Below are 16,009 nucleotides of genomic sequence, written 5' to 3' on the forward strand. Positions count from 1 at the left end.
ATATTTAGCTTTTTCACTCAATGTTATGTCTGTGAAATCATCCATACTGTTCATGTATGTTGAGTGTGTTGTTTTTTTCAAGTTTTATGAGCCATTTGGATAGTCTCTTTTGTGAAATTCCTGTTCCAATCTTTCTTTTTGGTAAGCACTTTCTCCTTTTCTTATTGATATTGATTTCTCTTTTTATTTTAGTTATTTTTATATATATCCTAGATACAACTACTTTGTTGGGTAAATGTATTGTAAATAACATCTTTCAGATTGAAGCTGATCTTTTTATTCACTTAAAGTTATTAATCTTAATGAAGACTAAGTTATCAAATTTTATTTGATGGTTACTTCACTTTTGTCCTATTTAAGGAAACACTGCTTACAGTAACCAAGTACATAAATATCATGTCATACAGATATGCTCTTATGTTTTCTTCTAGCATTTTTATATGTTTAGCTTTTGCATTTAGGTCTATGATGCATCTTTATTGTACATAGTGAGGTGGGAGTAACATGGATATTCAGTTGACACACAACATTTAAGAAAAACCTTCTAGGCTTATTGAATTGCAGTGACATATTAATTACAAATCAGGTGACCATAAATATGGCCTGTATTTTGGCTCTATGCTCTTCTACTGATCCACTTATTTTTTATCTTTGTCCCAGACAGACTAGCTTAGTATTACTCTTCTGGATTTGTTCTTTTCTTTAAAACTTGTCTAGCCTAGGTCTTTTGTACTCCAGTGTAAATTTCAGAATTTTCTTGTTAATTTCCATAGAAAAATCTGTTACAATTTTATTGAGATTTTTTGAGAAATCAACATCTTAACAATATTGAAACCTCCAATCCATTAACATTGTATATCCTGTCTTCTTCAATCTGTGAGAAGCTTATTCTTTGCCCTTTGAATGTTGGTCATATAGTGGTCATTGGCCAGGACATAAAGAAGCGGGCTGATGCCTATCCTTGTTTTTCTATAGCCTCATCTCTATAGACAACATTCTGTCCACAAGTGAAGAACAAAGCCAGAAGCAAACAGGTGGAATCCTCAGGAGAGTCTTTTTGTAATAAGGAGAAAGATCTCATATTTGATTTTTACTTCTGACAGGCTCTCTGGTCCCATCCCACCTATTCCCCTACCCTACCAGCTGTGAGACCAACAAGAGAGCTGGGCTACACCCAACTTCTGTCCCCTCATACTTGTGAGAATTCCAAACCCCGCAGACCCTGGTCTACTTGGGGGAACCCGATCACAGTCCCACCTCCTAACAGCATGAAGTTTCAAGCTATGCATACTACCTGACTCTTTCCCTTTAATCCCTGTAAAAAAAAAAAAAAAAAAAAAAAAAAAGAAAAGCAATAGCAGCAACAACAAAACCCAGTCTCTGGCAAAATCCAGATTCAGATCTAAAGAAAATATATTAAAAAAAATTTAAAAAAACATTGTTCCAGTGCATGTGAGTAGTAAAATTTCAAACTTCATTGGTAGGCAAATGGCACCATTGGATTGGTCTAAACATCCAATCATTGGTCAAGGGTTGATAATCTCTCCTAGGTGACCACAAAACACCTCCATATGGAGCAGATCCCTGAGAGAAGTTTTCTAATTATAACAGGAATAACTTGTTTCACAATTCCTTTATACAATCTCCTAGAGCAGTGGTTTCCACTTTGGCTTCACTTTGGAATTATCTGAAAAGTTTTAAAAACACTGATGCTGAAGCGCCTGCTTATTTTAGAATTAAAAGGAATTCTTAACAATTAAAAACAATTTTTGACAAGGGAAATGAAAAATTAGAAAATCACCAAAATTATTTTTGAGACTAGTATAAAACTGATTATAGAAGAGGGCTGAATTAGAACAAAACAAAAAAAAAGTTACTACAGATAGAAAATTATCTACGTATAGCTACAAGTAAAATATCAGAAAAATAATCTAGAGACAGGTTAATATTAAATCTTAATTGAGTATTGTTTTTCTAGAAATCCAAGAATTCTAAAAAAATCTGTTACTATAACTCAGTGGATTAAGACACATGCTCAAAATAAAGAGCTATATGAAGTTCCTACCTGGAAACTCTTAATGGTGCAAAAACATTAATTGCACTCAGACTGGAGATGTGATGTGAGAGAAAATGAGGAGTCAAGAATGACTATGTGAGAACCTATAAATGTGAACTGCAACTAACAGAACTGGAAAAGAATAAGAGAAATCATTTTTCCCCCAGGAGATTGGTTTTGAATAACCTTACTTTGAGTTTAGGTCTAAAATGAAGGTTTCAAATGGAGAGCACTTGGATATATAATTTTTTAACATGGGAATGACTTCCAGGCTAAACATATGCATTTGGATAAAATCAGCATGGGGGAAAGTTTAGGAAAGAGACCTATGCTAGGAGATGGGCTGTACCTTTTGCTCCACCTAGGGCATAGATCAGCACAAGATGATGCCTCTGCTTTCCTGGACTCATTCTTCCTCCCCCTATGTCCTTTCCTGGACCCATTCTTCCTGCCTCCTTTTCACTGTGAAAAACTCTATTGACTTTAAATTCTTTCCAGTTATTTTCTTTTCAATGCCATACATCATCATGGCCAAGAATCAATCAGGAAAGCTCACTATATTCCTTAGAGAAAGCTCCTGTAATCAGAAAGCCTGTGAATACAACTTTATTGATCATTTCTGTTCCTATTGCTCATTAATAAATTTTGTCCCTTTTGTCTTTTCATTGTACATATATTCGTACAATACTTGCGTATAAGTTAATAAATGAAAGGAATGAATAAAAATTTTTCAAAAGTTACGATTCAGTCATGTTTTATTCAATTATGTGTATTATATTGTTTTAGTCAATAATTTCATTGTAATAAATAATTTCATTTATACAAATTATTTATGTTAGGCAACAATGAACTTTTACAAAATTGTAACTTGCGTTAATTTAGAAAGCAGATTATATGCCTACTGAGCTTGTACCTCTAAGGGTAGAGGTTGAAAAACGATATTAGTAGTAGGTGTGAAAAATTGTTGACTGCATTTGGCAAGTAACTTTAGAAAGATATGAGTTCAAGAAAGTATTTTTCAGTATGCAAGCAGAGAGCTAAAAGAGAATCAAGGGAATTCAGAATCCTACGAGTAGGATATAAAAACTGCTGTGTTTCCCATTCATGGCAATTCTGAATGCATGTCTTTGTTGTGATCATTCTACATTCAGACTACACAGAGTCATATCCAGCTATTATGAAGAGGACTCCATATGACCCAAAGACTCTGAGCTTTGAGCTGGATGGAATTACTAGAAAATACTTTGGATTGGTCCCTTCAAGTTAGAATAAGCGTGCCGTACATGGGGGGCAAAGAGAAACATTAATATTTGGTGACCTGAAGGTCGATATGTAGCAAAGTCACTGCTGGTGAGCACCAAATCCAATTTATTTTCATTTTGGACACAGGGCTACACCCTGCTTTCCTTATAGTTAGCCAAGGACATATGACTAAGTTTTTACCTATACAATATGGACAGATGTCATGGCCCTCTGATGGCTTGGCTCATGTAAATTTCTCATGGGTGATTCTCTTTTCTCACTTTCCATTCTATGGCAACCTTGGACACCACATATTGAAGAAAATGGAAAGGGCCTAGCATTTGAATGTACTTGATAGAGCCCATTCATCTCACCATTGGCCCACATAAATCTGACATAGGAATTACATTTGGAAACTGGAATAACATGCTTTGTCTCCTAGAGATATGGTAGTCAATACCCTGAAAACCCAGGAACAATACCCCACCCTTGGATTAATCTGGATATCCATTGCCCCTGCCAAGGTGTCACCAGGGGAAGAGGTTATTGAGGACACTGCTACTCCATACTATTCTATATCTTCCCTCCTCTCTTTCTCTGCTAATGAATGCTACCCAGCACCAGAAAGGCCTTTATCTCACATTCCTATGTGATAGGAATTGTGGCTATTCCTCTTCTTCCCCTTTCCTATGTACATTTAACTTCTCCTTCCCTAGGGAGAGGAGGGAGAGTGGGTTGGGAAAGGGAGTGAAGAGCTACCAAGGAAAAATCAGATTTCAAAGAATAGAAAATATGTCAAGATATATTTCAAATATATTACTTCCAGTTAAAGCATAAATCCATTGGTAGAATTTATGCCTTTAAGCCAAAACTATGGGTTTTCTTCAGATCATAAGTGAAATAAAATGACTTTACCAAATGCTAATAAGTTGTGTCTACTCTTAAAAATGACACAAAACAAGCAAATACTTCAAGTAACATGCAAATAAGCTACAGACGTAAATAAGTTCCTTACCTTCTGAGCTTCCTGACCTCGTTAGTCTAAGAACATCACAATGGGCTTCGAGATTATTGTCATGGGACCATTCTTATTCATCCAAAATGCCTCCTTCTTAGAGGTCTGTTTTGGGTTCATAATCCCTACAAGTAGGAAATCTTTTCTGACTCTGTACCAAAGGACCTTTTCTCAATATCTTTCTTCTATAAGGTACATTCAAGCAGTTTTTTCCTTCATTTTAATTTAATCCAAGAGTGTGACTTCCTACTGAATAGAGATTTGTGGAGACCTTGCTGTTGTAACTTATTCAGCAATTGCTGGATCAGCTAAAGATAAGTTTAGAGCAAGCTGTTGGGTTAAAGGAGGCTTTCTTAGTGCAAACTTTTGCTTTAAAGAGAAAATAAGTCAATATCACGAGGTGCAAAAACATAGCTCCAAGATCTAGAATGGTGCTAGAGAAAAAAATAAGAATGTGCTTTACTCATCCATAAACGACTATGAAAAAACCATATAGTAAAGAGGACATCAATTTCCAGGAATTGGAATTTTAATTATTTCTAAAGCTCTATCACTGTGTTTATTCTTTAAAAGAGAAACATATTAAAATTCTCATATTTACTTATTAGAAAATATGATTTTTATCCAATATTCTATCTGTTTCACCTTCACTTTTTAATAGTGGCCAGTGAAGTGGTCCCTCCACGTCGTCCCCTGGTGATACCAAAGGCAGGTGTTGTCTTCCAGTACCAACCACAGTAGAAACTAAGCTATGATAAATCTCCCTTGCTTCATGAAAATAGAAATGCTGGATACAATCCGAGTCAACTTAAATGGATAGTTAAGAATTTAAAAAAGAGAAAACGAGATATTTAGTTTCCAGAAATTAAAAGAGAATTTTAAAATTTCATTTCTACCCTCTGTTTCCTCATCAATGTAATCACTCTTATTCCTTAACTTGCGTTTTCACTCAGCACCATTCAACATACTATGAACAAGTTTGGATGTAAATGAATATTCTTTACCTAATTAGACTGATTGACTGTATGGTATTCTGTAATACAAAGGGACCATTGCTGACTTAACCAATCCTCTATAATAGCATATTAATTTCACTACAACTGTCTTTTGTATAAATAAGGCTTCAATAAATAAATTTGTATATATGTTTGAGCTGGCATATGGACAGTGTTTTTGTAATATAAATACCTAGGGCTGCATTTTCTGGGTCTGGTGGTTTAATAATTTTGGTAGATTTTACTAAATTAACTATAAGTGTTTTTAAATTTTATACTTCTACTGTATCTACTCTTACCCCAACCATCACCAAGTAATCTTTTTGTTGTTCATCAGATCTTTCATTTATTTGAAATGAGAGGCATATTATTTGGCATATTATCCACTCACAGCTATTTAGGCTTCTTGTAAACTGCCTCTATATTTCTTACTCATATCTCTATCAGGTTCTTAAAATATTTGAACTTTTTATTTAAAATATTAATACTCACATATTTTAAGGGTTTTTTTTCCATGTGATTTGAATTTTCTTTATGGCCCTTTGCTGGATAGATTATTTTTTCCATTTAATGTGTTAAAATGTATTTCTTTTTTCCATTGTGGCCATAGTTTTCGTATTACTCAGAAAGAGCTTTCCTGTCTGAAGATTTAAAAATGTTTTACATACACATATTTCTAGTATTTAATAGATTTGCATTTGTTTCCTACATTTTGGTATACTAGGTATAATGTTTTCTACTTATTGAGCATGCCAGGCATTGTTCTGAAGTGTTTATAATTCAATTCATCCTCGTAACCATCCAATGATTTGGGCTGTTTTTATTATACTCAAGAGCTGAATGACCTGAGGCATAGAGAAGCAGAATAACATGCTCACTTCTCAGGAGGGAGGCTTCTTTTTGTTTCCTATCTCTAATTCCTCTAGGTGTCCATCTACTGGTGAGGCCCAGTAAGAAATTTCTCCATCCAGGTTTCATCTCAACTAGCATGAGATCTCTGTGTCACAAAAGGCTTGAATATCTGCTGGTGCTATTCGCAGGGGACACAGTAGCATGATCTTTTGTCGGCAGGTAGCTATCTTCCATCAGCCCCTAAGGAAATCTGGATTCTTTCCTGTCTTCTAGTCATGACAGAGGCAAGATTCTCATACAGGCACTTGAAGATCTCATTCTTGTCCAGATTGTAACCTTGAGCCCAGTCAAGGGAGCAAGTGGGACTGGAGCAGATTTAATACTCCAGTAGGGGTATATCTATTTCTTCAAAAACATGATTTTATTGGATATAGGTTTCACAGCTCATTGGCTGTATATCCAGGATCTGATGACATCATATGAATTGTCTAGACATATTTATATAATGGATTATATTTTACATTTTTTCCCACGTACTGAACATCCTTAGCTTGAGCCTAAACTGTGCTGTCCTTGGACTTAGACCTGTCTGGACTTGCATCATGGTCTTAGAGTGGGTTTGTTGTTTATCCTAAAAAGGAACCCATTCTAAGGAAGAAAAGAGTTATATCCACACCTGGTCCAGTCACAATAACTCTGCTTAGCAGTAGAAGGCCAACTTTGACAAAGCCATGGGTGTAACACTAAGGTTACCCCTTGGCTCAACCTTCATAGCTATTTACCTGAGTGTTGAGCACGAGAAGGTCATTTAGTGTTTTTTATTTTTTTTGTTTGATTTTTAATATGTCAGGCATTATTAGTAGCAGAAGACAGTACATGGCAATCTAAAAGAGATGATTTAGGGAAAAAAAATCTTTTATCTCAAACTTTGCACTCTACTCTGTGTGTGTGTGTGTGTGTGTGTTCAACATCACATGTTGTGTTTTGTTTTTTCAGCCACCTTCTCCCACCCTCCCCAACATACATGCCCTGAAACCCTAAGCCCTATGGCTCCCACTGCCCAGTAACCCACCTTCCCTCCCTCCCCACCACACCGTACGTGTTTTTTGTTTGTTTGGTTTTGTTTTATTTTGTTTATGTTCAACCCCTCAGACAGTCCCAAGTGCTCCAAGGAAACTTTGTGCTAGAAATTACAGCATGAACCTACTAGTGAAGTCTCTAAAATCCCTTCTTGATGAGACTCTTAATCTTGTGTCTTCAATTACAATTCCTGCAGACTGCTGCAACATAAATGCTGAAATGTACAGAATCCTCTCTTTGCCTCTCTAATTTGAACCCATAATAAGAACCCACTTAGCCAGAGGCATTTCAGGTACATTTTTATTATTTTAGTTATTTCTGCTCCTGATCTCTATCCCATCCACAGAGTGTATTATCTTTCTTTTCCCCCTCTACTAGGCACAAATGGGTCCTTCAAAGTATGTCTCCTCAAATCCCACCATTGAGTCTGGAAATATGCTTATTTCTTTCCAATTTCATCTAGCCTCTTTCTCGGATACTCATTCCTCCGTCTAAAGTAATGAGAGTGGATTAGGAACTATTACTTTTTTAAAAAGATCTGATACACTGAATAATACACCAGCTAAGAATTCAATTCTCAGTGCTTTCAAAATAAATTCACTTTGATCCCAAATGTTTTCATACAGATTGGTAACTGCATTGTTCATCTTAGAGTTAATTACTTAGAGTAATTAAATTTTCTCCAAGGATCTATATTTTATTTTGTGTAAGGCTTATATTGAAACATAACTTGGAATAAATTTCACTAAAACAATGTATGCTTACCTCTCTTATGTAGACTAAAGTTACATGATTTATTAGTCAACGGAATCCTGTCCTTTGTTCTATTTAAACCTCACTTCATCCTTTCCAAGAGATAAACATCTCTACCTAAATTGACTGAACAGCTTTTCACACCTCTAAGAAACTGGATTCTTTTTGCATTGAAGGCAAAATTCATAGGACTGTTATTGTGTTATGGTCCCTTCCTGCATACTTACTACGTAACCCTAGCTACTTACCTCTAAACACTTACTACATGCTGGCTATCTTCTGCCTACTCATAATGCTTCATGTATAAAATCCAAAGAAATGAAGAAAATTGCCACCAAATCTTTATTAATAGCTAGTGGCCACCTATTTTGGACAACAAATGAGTGGCCTTTTGACTAGAATAATGGGAAGAGTGTTATATTTTATAAAATTGTAAAATTGAGCCATTTATGCCATTGGCATGTACTGTTCTAATATTTTCATAATTTAAGTTTTTTTAAAAAGCTGAGCAAAAAACAGATCCTTTTAGAACTGCTCAAGATGGTGCTAATGGTTTCTGTATTACCTGGCAGTTGAAGATATAACCAACCATCAACCCCGGCTGACTGGGAGGAAAGACACATCATAAGAGTGGGGTCGGCCCGGCACGGTGGCTCACACCTGTAATCTCAGCACTTTGGGAGGCTAAGGTGTGTGGATCACCTGAGGTCAGGAGTTCACGACCATCCTGGCTAACATGGTGAAACCCTGTCTCTACTAAAAATACAAAAATTAGCTGGGAGTGGTGACAGGCACCTGTAATCCCAGCTACACTGGAGGCTGACGCAGGAAATTCGCTTGAACCCAGGAGGCGGAGGTTGCAGTAAGCCATGATCATGCCATTGCACTCCAGCCTGGGCAACAAGAGTGAAACTCCGTCTCAAAAAAAAAAAAAAAAAAAAAAAAAAAAAAGTTCAGGAAAGCATTGTCTAAGATGATCAGAACCATTAGTTAGAAGAGAGGCTCCCATCTGGACTTCTGCCCTACACATTATGTTCTTATTTTATTGTGCCCTTGCTATATAAGTGTAAAACCCACCATTTCACTGGAAAAAGATAAATACTTCATTTTTCACTCTAAGAAGTAGCATATCTAAATGGTCCATCCAGGAATAATGGAGAGTCTCAAAAACAAACATCAGAACTTAACTTCTTAGCACACCACACAAACAAGAAAGGCTTCATTTCTAGACAGTCTCCTCATATGTCTAATTGGCCATGACAATATGGTACTGGTATCTCCCTTCTTTCCTTTAATGCTATATTTTAAAAAGTCTGCATTCATTCAATATTTAGAGTGTCCCTGTTAAATGTTGAATAATGTGCTAAAGAGTTAAGAAGCCATGTCCTTACTACAAAGTAGGTAATACTCTAGTTGGAAGAAAGAGAAGTAACCCATTACAGTACAATGAGGTCAGTGACATGGTAAGATTTGTGCTATGGGCAAGTAGCAAATAGGTTCAGACAAATCAGACTATAAAGGCTCTCCGTGAAGGGAAAAATTTTAAGTGAATCATGAATAACAGAAATGTTATTAACACATATAAGGGAAAGAATATGTAGCTAGCAAAAGAAACAGCTTATGAGCTTAGGTTTTCTGTGGCCCTAAATTGAAGCTCAGACAACAAATTCTGAGATGAGGATTCTTATGCAAGTTTATTGGAGAGAGCTATGGAATCACATTTGTGAGAAGAAAAGGCAGGACGATTAGGCAAAGGGGAAAGCTAACCTGCAGTGTAGTCACAAAATGGCCTTAGCCAATAACAGGAGGCTGGGAGGGTGGTCTGAAACTGGGAAGACTCTTCACAGGTGGAGTAAGGGGACTTCACACCCCCACGTAGACCAGTCATTGAATACAAGCAGACCCTAGGGAGGAGTAGAAAACTTGGGCTAAATGACTTTAGCCAAAGGCAATTCCACAAATGGCCCCCAACTCTATTTACCAAACATTTATACTTCTCTATAGAGGAGATCACTGGATAAGTTTGCCATTTTTCACCTTGGAATGAATCCTCTGTCCTCCAGAGTTTGGTTTTGTGTCCACAACACATTCTTTGTCCAATCAGCATTGCTATCGTGGAAGTTTTGATTTCACTCAACCACACGGTATGAGGACCAGAAACCTTAGAGAAAACAAAACAAAACAAAACTTGCTTTAGTCCATTTTCCTTAAAAGGCAGATATTGTCATGGGGTGCACCTAGGATATGACAGTTGCTACATACAGCTTCTTTAATAAGGAAAATGTCTGATTTGCTGCTGTGAAAAGGCAGTGATAGAAAAAAAATATATCTTCATCAACTAACTCCTATCTAGGGTGCTAACTTTTCTCCAGATGTCATAAGAAATATGAGATCAGTAGCCTTAAAAAAACTATGCCTTCATCTCTTAAAAACTTACCAAGGCTATCAAGAAGTAGGGGTACGGCTTACTACGTGTAGTCACAAGACCAGCAGCAACAGCATCATGTGAGAACTGTTAGAAATGGAATTACTCAGGCCATACCACAGACCTATTGAATCAGAAACAGTGGGATGGGACCATGCAATCAGGGTTTTAACAAATCCTCCAGGTGATTCTGATTCATGTTAGAGGTGGGACTTAACTTACAGCAGGTGCCCTTTACAAGAGTTGTTTTTAATTTTTAAAGTAGAGATGGGATCTCACCATGTTGCTTAGGCTGATCTCACACTCCTGGGCTCAAGCAATCTGCCTGCCTTGGCCTCCCGAAGTGCTGGGATTACAGGCATGAGCTACTGCACCCAGCCTGTTCTTTTTTTAAATTTCAAAAATATAATAATTTTTTTTTCCTGGTTCTAAAAGGAATCCTTATTCATGGGAGAAATATTTAATCCAAAAAGTTTAAGTGAATGTAAATTCTATCCCAAAGACAGTAGTACTATGAACATTTTCATGCATTTCTTTTCATATACTTTTCATGAATGTTTTATTTGTAGAAAATATGATGATGCTGTTATTATTTTGTAACCTGCTTTTGGATTTAATGATTTGTTTAGCTCAATACATATAGATGTAACAAAAATATAACTCAGCCTGCAAATACAAATGAACCTACCCATACTCCAAGCCTTTCCATGTGCTACTAAGCCAGGAGTCCAATCTTTTAATACGTCTCTCCTTCCCAATATTCCCAAGTTTAGAACTCTGGTTTTGGAGTTTTAAAAGGGCACACATATTTAGAAGTAACAATTTTTTATTTTGTGCTAGGCATTGAGGTGGTTATACAACAGGATATCAACTTAATAAACCTAAATGTTTGGGAAAACATTAGTATATAAAGTATTAGTTTAAACTTCTAAATATGAGTATTATTTTCTAAACGTTTCCATTTGACAGTTCCTCCATTCTGTTCTCAGTTCTTAAGGAAGCAATGTCAAGAGAAAGGAAAATATCTTTTCTTTAATTCAAGACTTCAGAGACCATTGTAAACTTGAATAAAGAAAGCTAGGAGAAAATTATTATTATTGTTATTATTATTTTGCAGTGATATTTCACAATGCTATTCAGGTTTGAGTTGTCAACAACACAGTGCAGGCTTTTGAGTCAGGCTGACTTGGGATAAGATCTTTGCTCTGGTATCTGCAAGCTCTGTGGCTTGCTACATTACTTTGAGCATGTTATTTCACCTTTACAGTCTTGTTCTCACTTGAGAAAAAAATAATTACAGAAGGCACTTGGTAAGGTCAATTTGAAAATTGGATAATGTGTTAAATGAAGGATTTGGTTCCAAAAACTTCCTGGTTTAAAGAACAACAAAAAATTTTCTAGACCATGAGAAGAAAAGTAACTTATATTTGCAGTTCCTTGTGGTATTTCTCCTTCCTCCACTTCACTACCTTTGTGTGAATTTGAAGGTAAACAGATCAACCCCTGGCTGCAATGTGAAGTCAGCAAAGACTTGCTTCTGATTGACAGCCTCTGCTTCCTTACCCTTCTTCACTATTGCAGGTGACTGTCTCACTTTCAGGATCCTATTCGGTTCCTACTCTTCCCTTTCAAACCAAGTCTAAAGTAGCAGCCATTACTCATTTGCATTAATTAAACTGAACTGGAGTATGCTTCGTTCCTAAGTTTTTACATTTACTACTAACTTTTACCTCCAATTATGCAATGCATCTGACGTAGAACATGACACATGGTAGTAGAACTAGCATCAGAGTTTTGGGCTGTGGCTCTGCTCCCTTACAGTGGACGAAAGTGGGATAGCCACCAAGCCTCAACTTTAGTTTCTCTGCCCCCACGTTGTTCCGTGGTGACTTCTGAGAGTTCCTGGCTAGAAGAGCTGGAATCCCTCCATCACTGGCATCTCCCAGGAGCAGGAACCCTCTCCCTTGGCACGGGTGTGCTTCTCTCCAGCCCTCCTCCAAGCAGACATCCCAACCAGGGGCAGGCTAATTCAGTCTCCTGTTCCTTTTGACCTTCACCAGCCAGACTCCCTCATGCATATTTCTGATAACTGTGACTCGTTAGATACATTTTAAATTATTATCTTAATATGTAATATTCACACAATTTAATATAAAAATTTTTAGAGGAGCTATAAAATCTCTCCCACCCTAATCTCCTTCTTCAGTCTTCCTTCTTCTCCTAAATACAGGTAATCATTGTAATTTATTTCTTATTCTTTATTTATACACAGTAAGGACAAACGTAAGTTTTATTTAACATTTTCACCCCAAATGTAGCATTTTATGTACACTGCTCTGTATCTTGCCTATTTTCAACTTTTTAAAAAGAAATACCGTCTCATTTGTTTCTCCAGCTGAATAGTGTTCCTTTATATGAATATGCCTCAACTGTCTCTAATTAGGAAAATCGAGATGGTTTCTTGACTTTTGGTATTACTAATAGTGCTGCAGAGAATAATATTGTTTGTAAGTTATTTCACACGTGGGCAAGTTTTTGTTGTTGTGGTTGTTGTTGTTTTGTTTTGTTTTGAGATAGAGTCTCACTCTGTTGCCCAGGCTGGAGTGCAGTGGCATGATCTCGGCTCACTGCAACCTCCACCTCCCAGGTTCAGGTGATTCTCTTGCCTCAGCCTTCCGAGTAGCTGGGACTACAGGTGCCCGCCACCATGCCCGGCTAATTTTTGTATTTTTAGTAGAGACAGGGTTTCACCATATTGGCCAGGCTGGTCTCGAACTCCTGACCTTGTGATCCACCCTCCTCAGCCTCCCAAAGTGCTAGGATTACAGGCCTGAGCCACCACGCCCAGCTGTGGGCAAGTATTTTTATAGGACACATTTCCAGGCCTAGAATTTATAGATGAAAGGCTACATGCATCTGTAATAGATATCACCTAATTGCCTCCATAGTGGTTGTACTATAAATGGCATGCATGCTATTTAATTTGTATTTCTATTATCATGAGTGAGATTGAACCTCTTTTAATGTAGTTTTTTTTCTCTGCAAACTGTTCATGTCCTTTCACCATATTTCTATTGTGTCTCCTGTAATGTAAATATTCACTGTGTAATAATATTTTCAAATCTTAAAATGCAAATTATTCCCAATATTTCTCATTGTCTCTAGCAATTTCTGGCAAATAAGCAAATCATTGCAATGGAGTTCTATGTTAAGGAAAGTATTTTTACATTAGTGGCATATTTTATTGTATCTACCCAGCCAGCCTGTATGAAAATACACCCATTTGAAGAATCAACCATATTAATGAATTTATTTTGACATACAAACAATTTAAAATGGATAGAATATATAAAGCCACATTACAAAATAAAAACAATTGTGGTCAATATGCACAATCTTAAAACACAGATAAATATATATATACACAAAATCAAAGCAATGTGATTGTACTATAAATTGTATTACCACTCTATGAAGAATCATGTCTGGAGAAGTCCTCTAGTCCCTCCACCTACCTCGGGCTTCTAAACTCTGTAGTAAGCTCTTGCTTCATGTCGTTCAAGGGTCTTCCTTGTTTGCTCAGTTTTTCTGTGAGACTGAACACAAAGAACAGACATCGGCTGATTTCTACTTGGACAATGGCCCAGGCACAGGTGCTGTAGTCCTGGTTTTCCAGGTAATCATGGATCCTTCGGAAGTACATTTTAACTTGTAATCTAAGGTTATCACTACCCAAAGTACCACTTAGCTTCTCTGCTTCCAGTCCCATGAGTGCTTCTAGGTATTCTAGCTGTTGATGAAGTTGAATGAGGAATTTCTCCGTGTGGTTTTCCTCCCAACCATCCAGAGAAATATTTGCCCTGAAGAGGCTGAAGATCTGCTGAAGCATCTCATGGAGAATGGCCAGAGTGTGTCCTTTTTGGTACTGCTGAGGACTCAAAGACTTCTGAGGAAGCAGAAAGTTTTTCCTGTGTGGTAGACACTGCTGAATTGACAAGGTTTGCAACTTATTCAAGAGTTTTAAACTTTCTTGATTCACTTGTCTTTGCTGGAAGATAATCAGTTTCAAATCTAGAGAGAAGATAGTGGTAGAGGCCAGCAGCACCAACACAGTTCCAAAGAAGTGCTTGATAATCATGGTGAAGGTCAAATATGCTACTTATCCCTGCATAGACTTAGGGAAATTCCAGCTCTAGTGAATGTTTGCCTTTCATGCATCTCAGATTATTTTGGAGAGTGTTCTCTTTTGTTGCTTTCGTTTTCTAATGTCATTTCTCCAAGTTTACACATTAGATTTTCAGGTTCCCTTTTCATGGTGTTCAGAGTACATTTTCTCCATTTCCCTATTGTGTTGGCTATTTTGAGGAAGTACCAAAATAACTTATTCATTGTATGCTTTCCTTGAGGCAATTACAGACTAGTCATCCAACATAATCTTTTATTATTCTATTCATTATATACAAAGTTTCACTGAACACAATGTGCTTTCTAAATATTTAGTCAAGCTTATTAAAGTTCTTTTATTGAGATTACGTTTTTTTCAGTAATAGTCTTTCATGGAGTAAAACTTACCAAAGGCTTATCAGCACCTATAAAGAATTCAGGGGCAAAACTTAAAATACCTACAAACTACTAAATTTAAAACCTCAATTAGAACTGTAAATTGTCACAAATGCTTGAGCAAATAATTAATTTTAAAACATATATCAGCAATCTTAAATTATTTTATATCTTATCCTATCAGTTTAATATCTAAGATTCTAGCCTATAGAAGCAATGCAAAAAAATTAGCAAAAGAAGAGTGTTATAATATTATTGCAAAGCAGAATATTAGAAACAACCTATAGGTTCAACGACAGGTGAATGATTACATATATGTTGGTACAGCCATATAATTAAATGATATATATCCATTATAGATGACAAAATTATATGTGAAGAGAGATTGGGGGCATTTGGTTAGCGTATATTCCCTAGAATAGTGATAGCTCTGGTAAACTAATGTGAACATCTCTACATTAACAATGTCCTTTGAATTACAAATACCCAGTTCCATATTCTAAGTTCCTCTTGAATAAGCCCCCAATATACCTTTCCAATCTTATCCCACTGTTGCTCTAAATATAGTGTGAAGGAATCTGAACTCCAGATAAAGTAAGTGATTTAGTATTCCCTTAATACAGCTAGCACTTGTGTGTGTGTGTGTTTATTGATGATGCTTTCTCTGAAACATCAACTGTTGCCTCCTTTACCTCAAGAACCTTTCTGTGCAAGGACTAAAGACTACTTGTCCTTTAAGGCCCAGATCTCCCCCAAGGAGCCATAATCTTCTGGATCCCCACAACACTTTGTACCTACCTTATTTAAGACACCTTTCTTGTTCTGTCTTATACTTGACTATGTACTTACATGATTAAAAGTCTCTTCAGAGTGTGAAATAAACACTGATTACTGATTTCTTTGCTGTCTATACAACTATAGTAGTTGCTTAATAAATATGTGTTGACTTGGAATAAATTAATATGTTCTACACAAAGTAATACAAGATGTTGAGTCTTATCTTTAATCATTTCTCTGCAGGCAGCTGGGTG

At 36.4% G+C, this 16,009-nt stretch overlaps 1 protein-coding gene and 1 long non-coding RNA gene across 5 annotated transcripts in view; both read right to left on the bottom strand.

Annotated features, from left to right (window-relative positions):
- MIR31HG (MIR31 host gene) overlaps positions 1-16,009 on the bottom strand; it is a 105,531-nt gene that overhangs the window by 12,871 nt on the left and 76,651 nt on the right. For 2 of the 4 annotated variants that reach the window (NR_152877.1, NR_027054.2), the window contains exons 2-3: positions 10,031-10,154; positions 9,761-9,897 (exon numbers count right to left, since the gene is read on the bottom strand). This is a non-coding gene — a long non-coding RNA (MIR31 host gene). The remainder of the gene's footprint in view (positions 1-9,760; positions 9,898-10,030; positions 10,155-16,009) is intronic. The other 2 variants (NR_152878.1, NR_152879.1) reach the window with 1 other exon arrangement.
- Positions 13,701-15,175, bottom strand: IFNE (interferon epsilon). The gene has a single exon (NM_176891.5). It carries the CDS (start codon positions 14,554-14,556, stop codon positions 13,930-13,932), a length of 627 nt encoding a protein of 208 aa, NP_795372.1. The 5' UTR covers positions 14,557-15,175; the 3' UTR covers positions 13,701-13,929.

Source organism: Homo sapiens, chromosome 9 (genome assembly GCF_000001405.40).
Source record: "Homo sapiens chromosome 9, GRCh38.p14 Primary Assembly".
NCBI classification, from domain to species: Eukaryota; Metazoa; Chordata; class Mammalia; order Primates; family Hominidae; genus Homo; species Homo sapiens.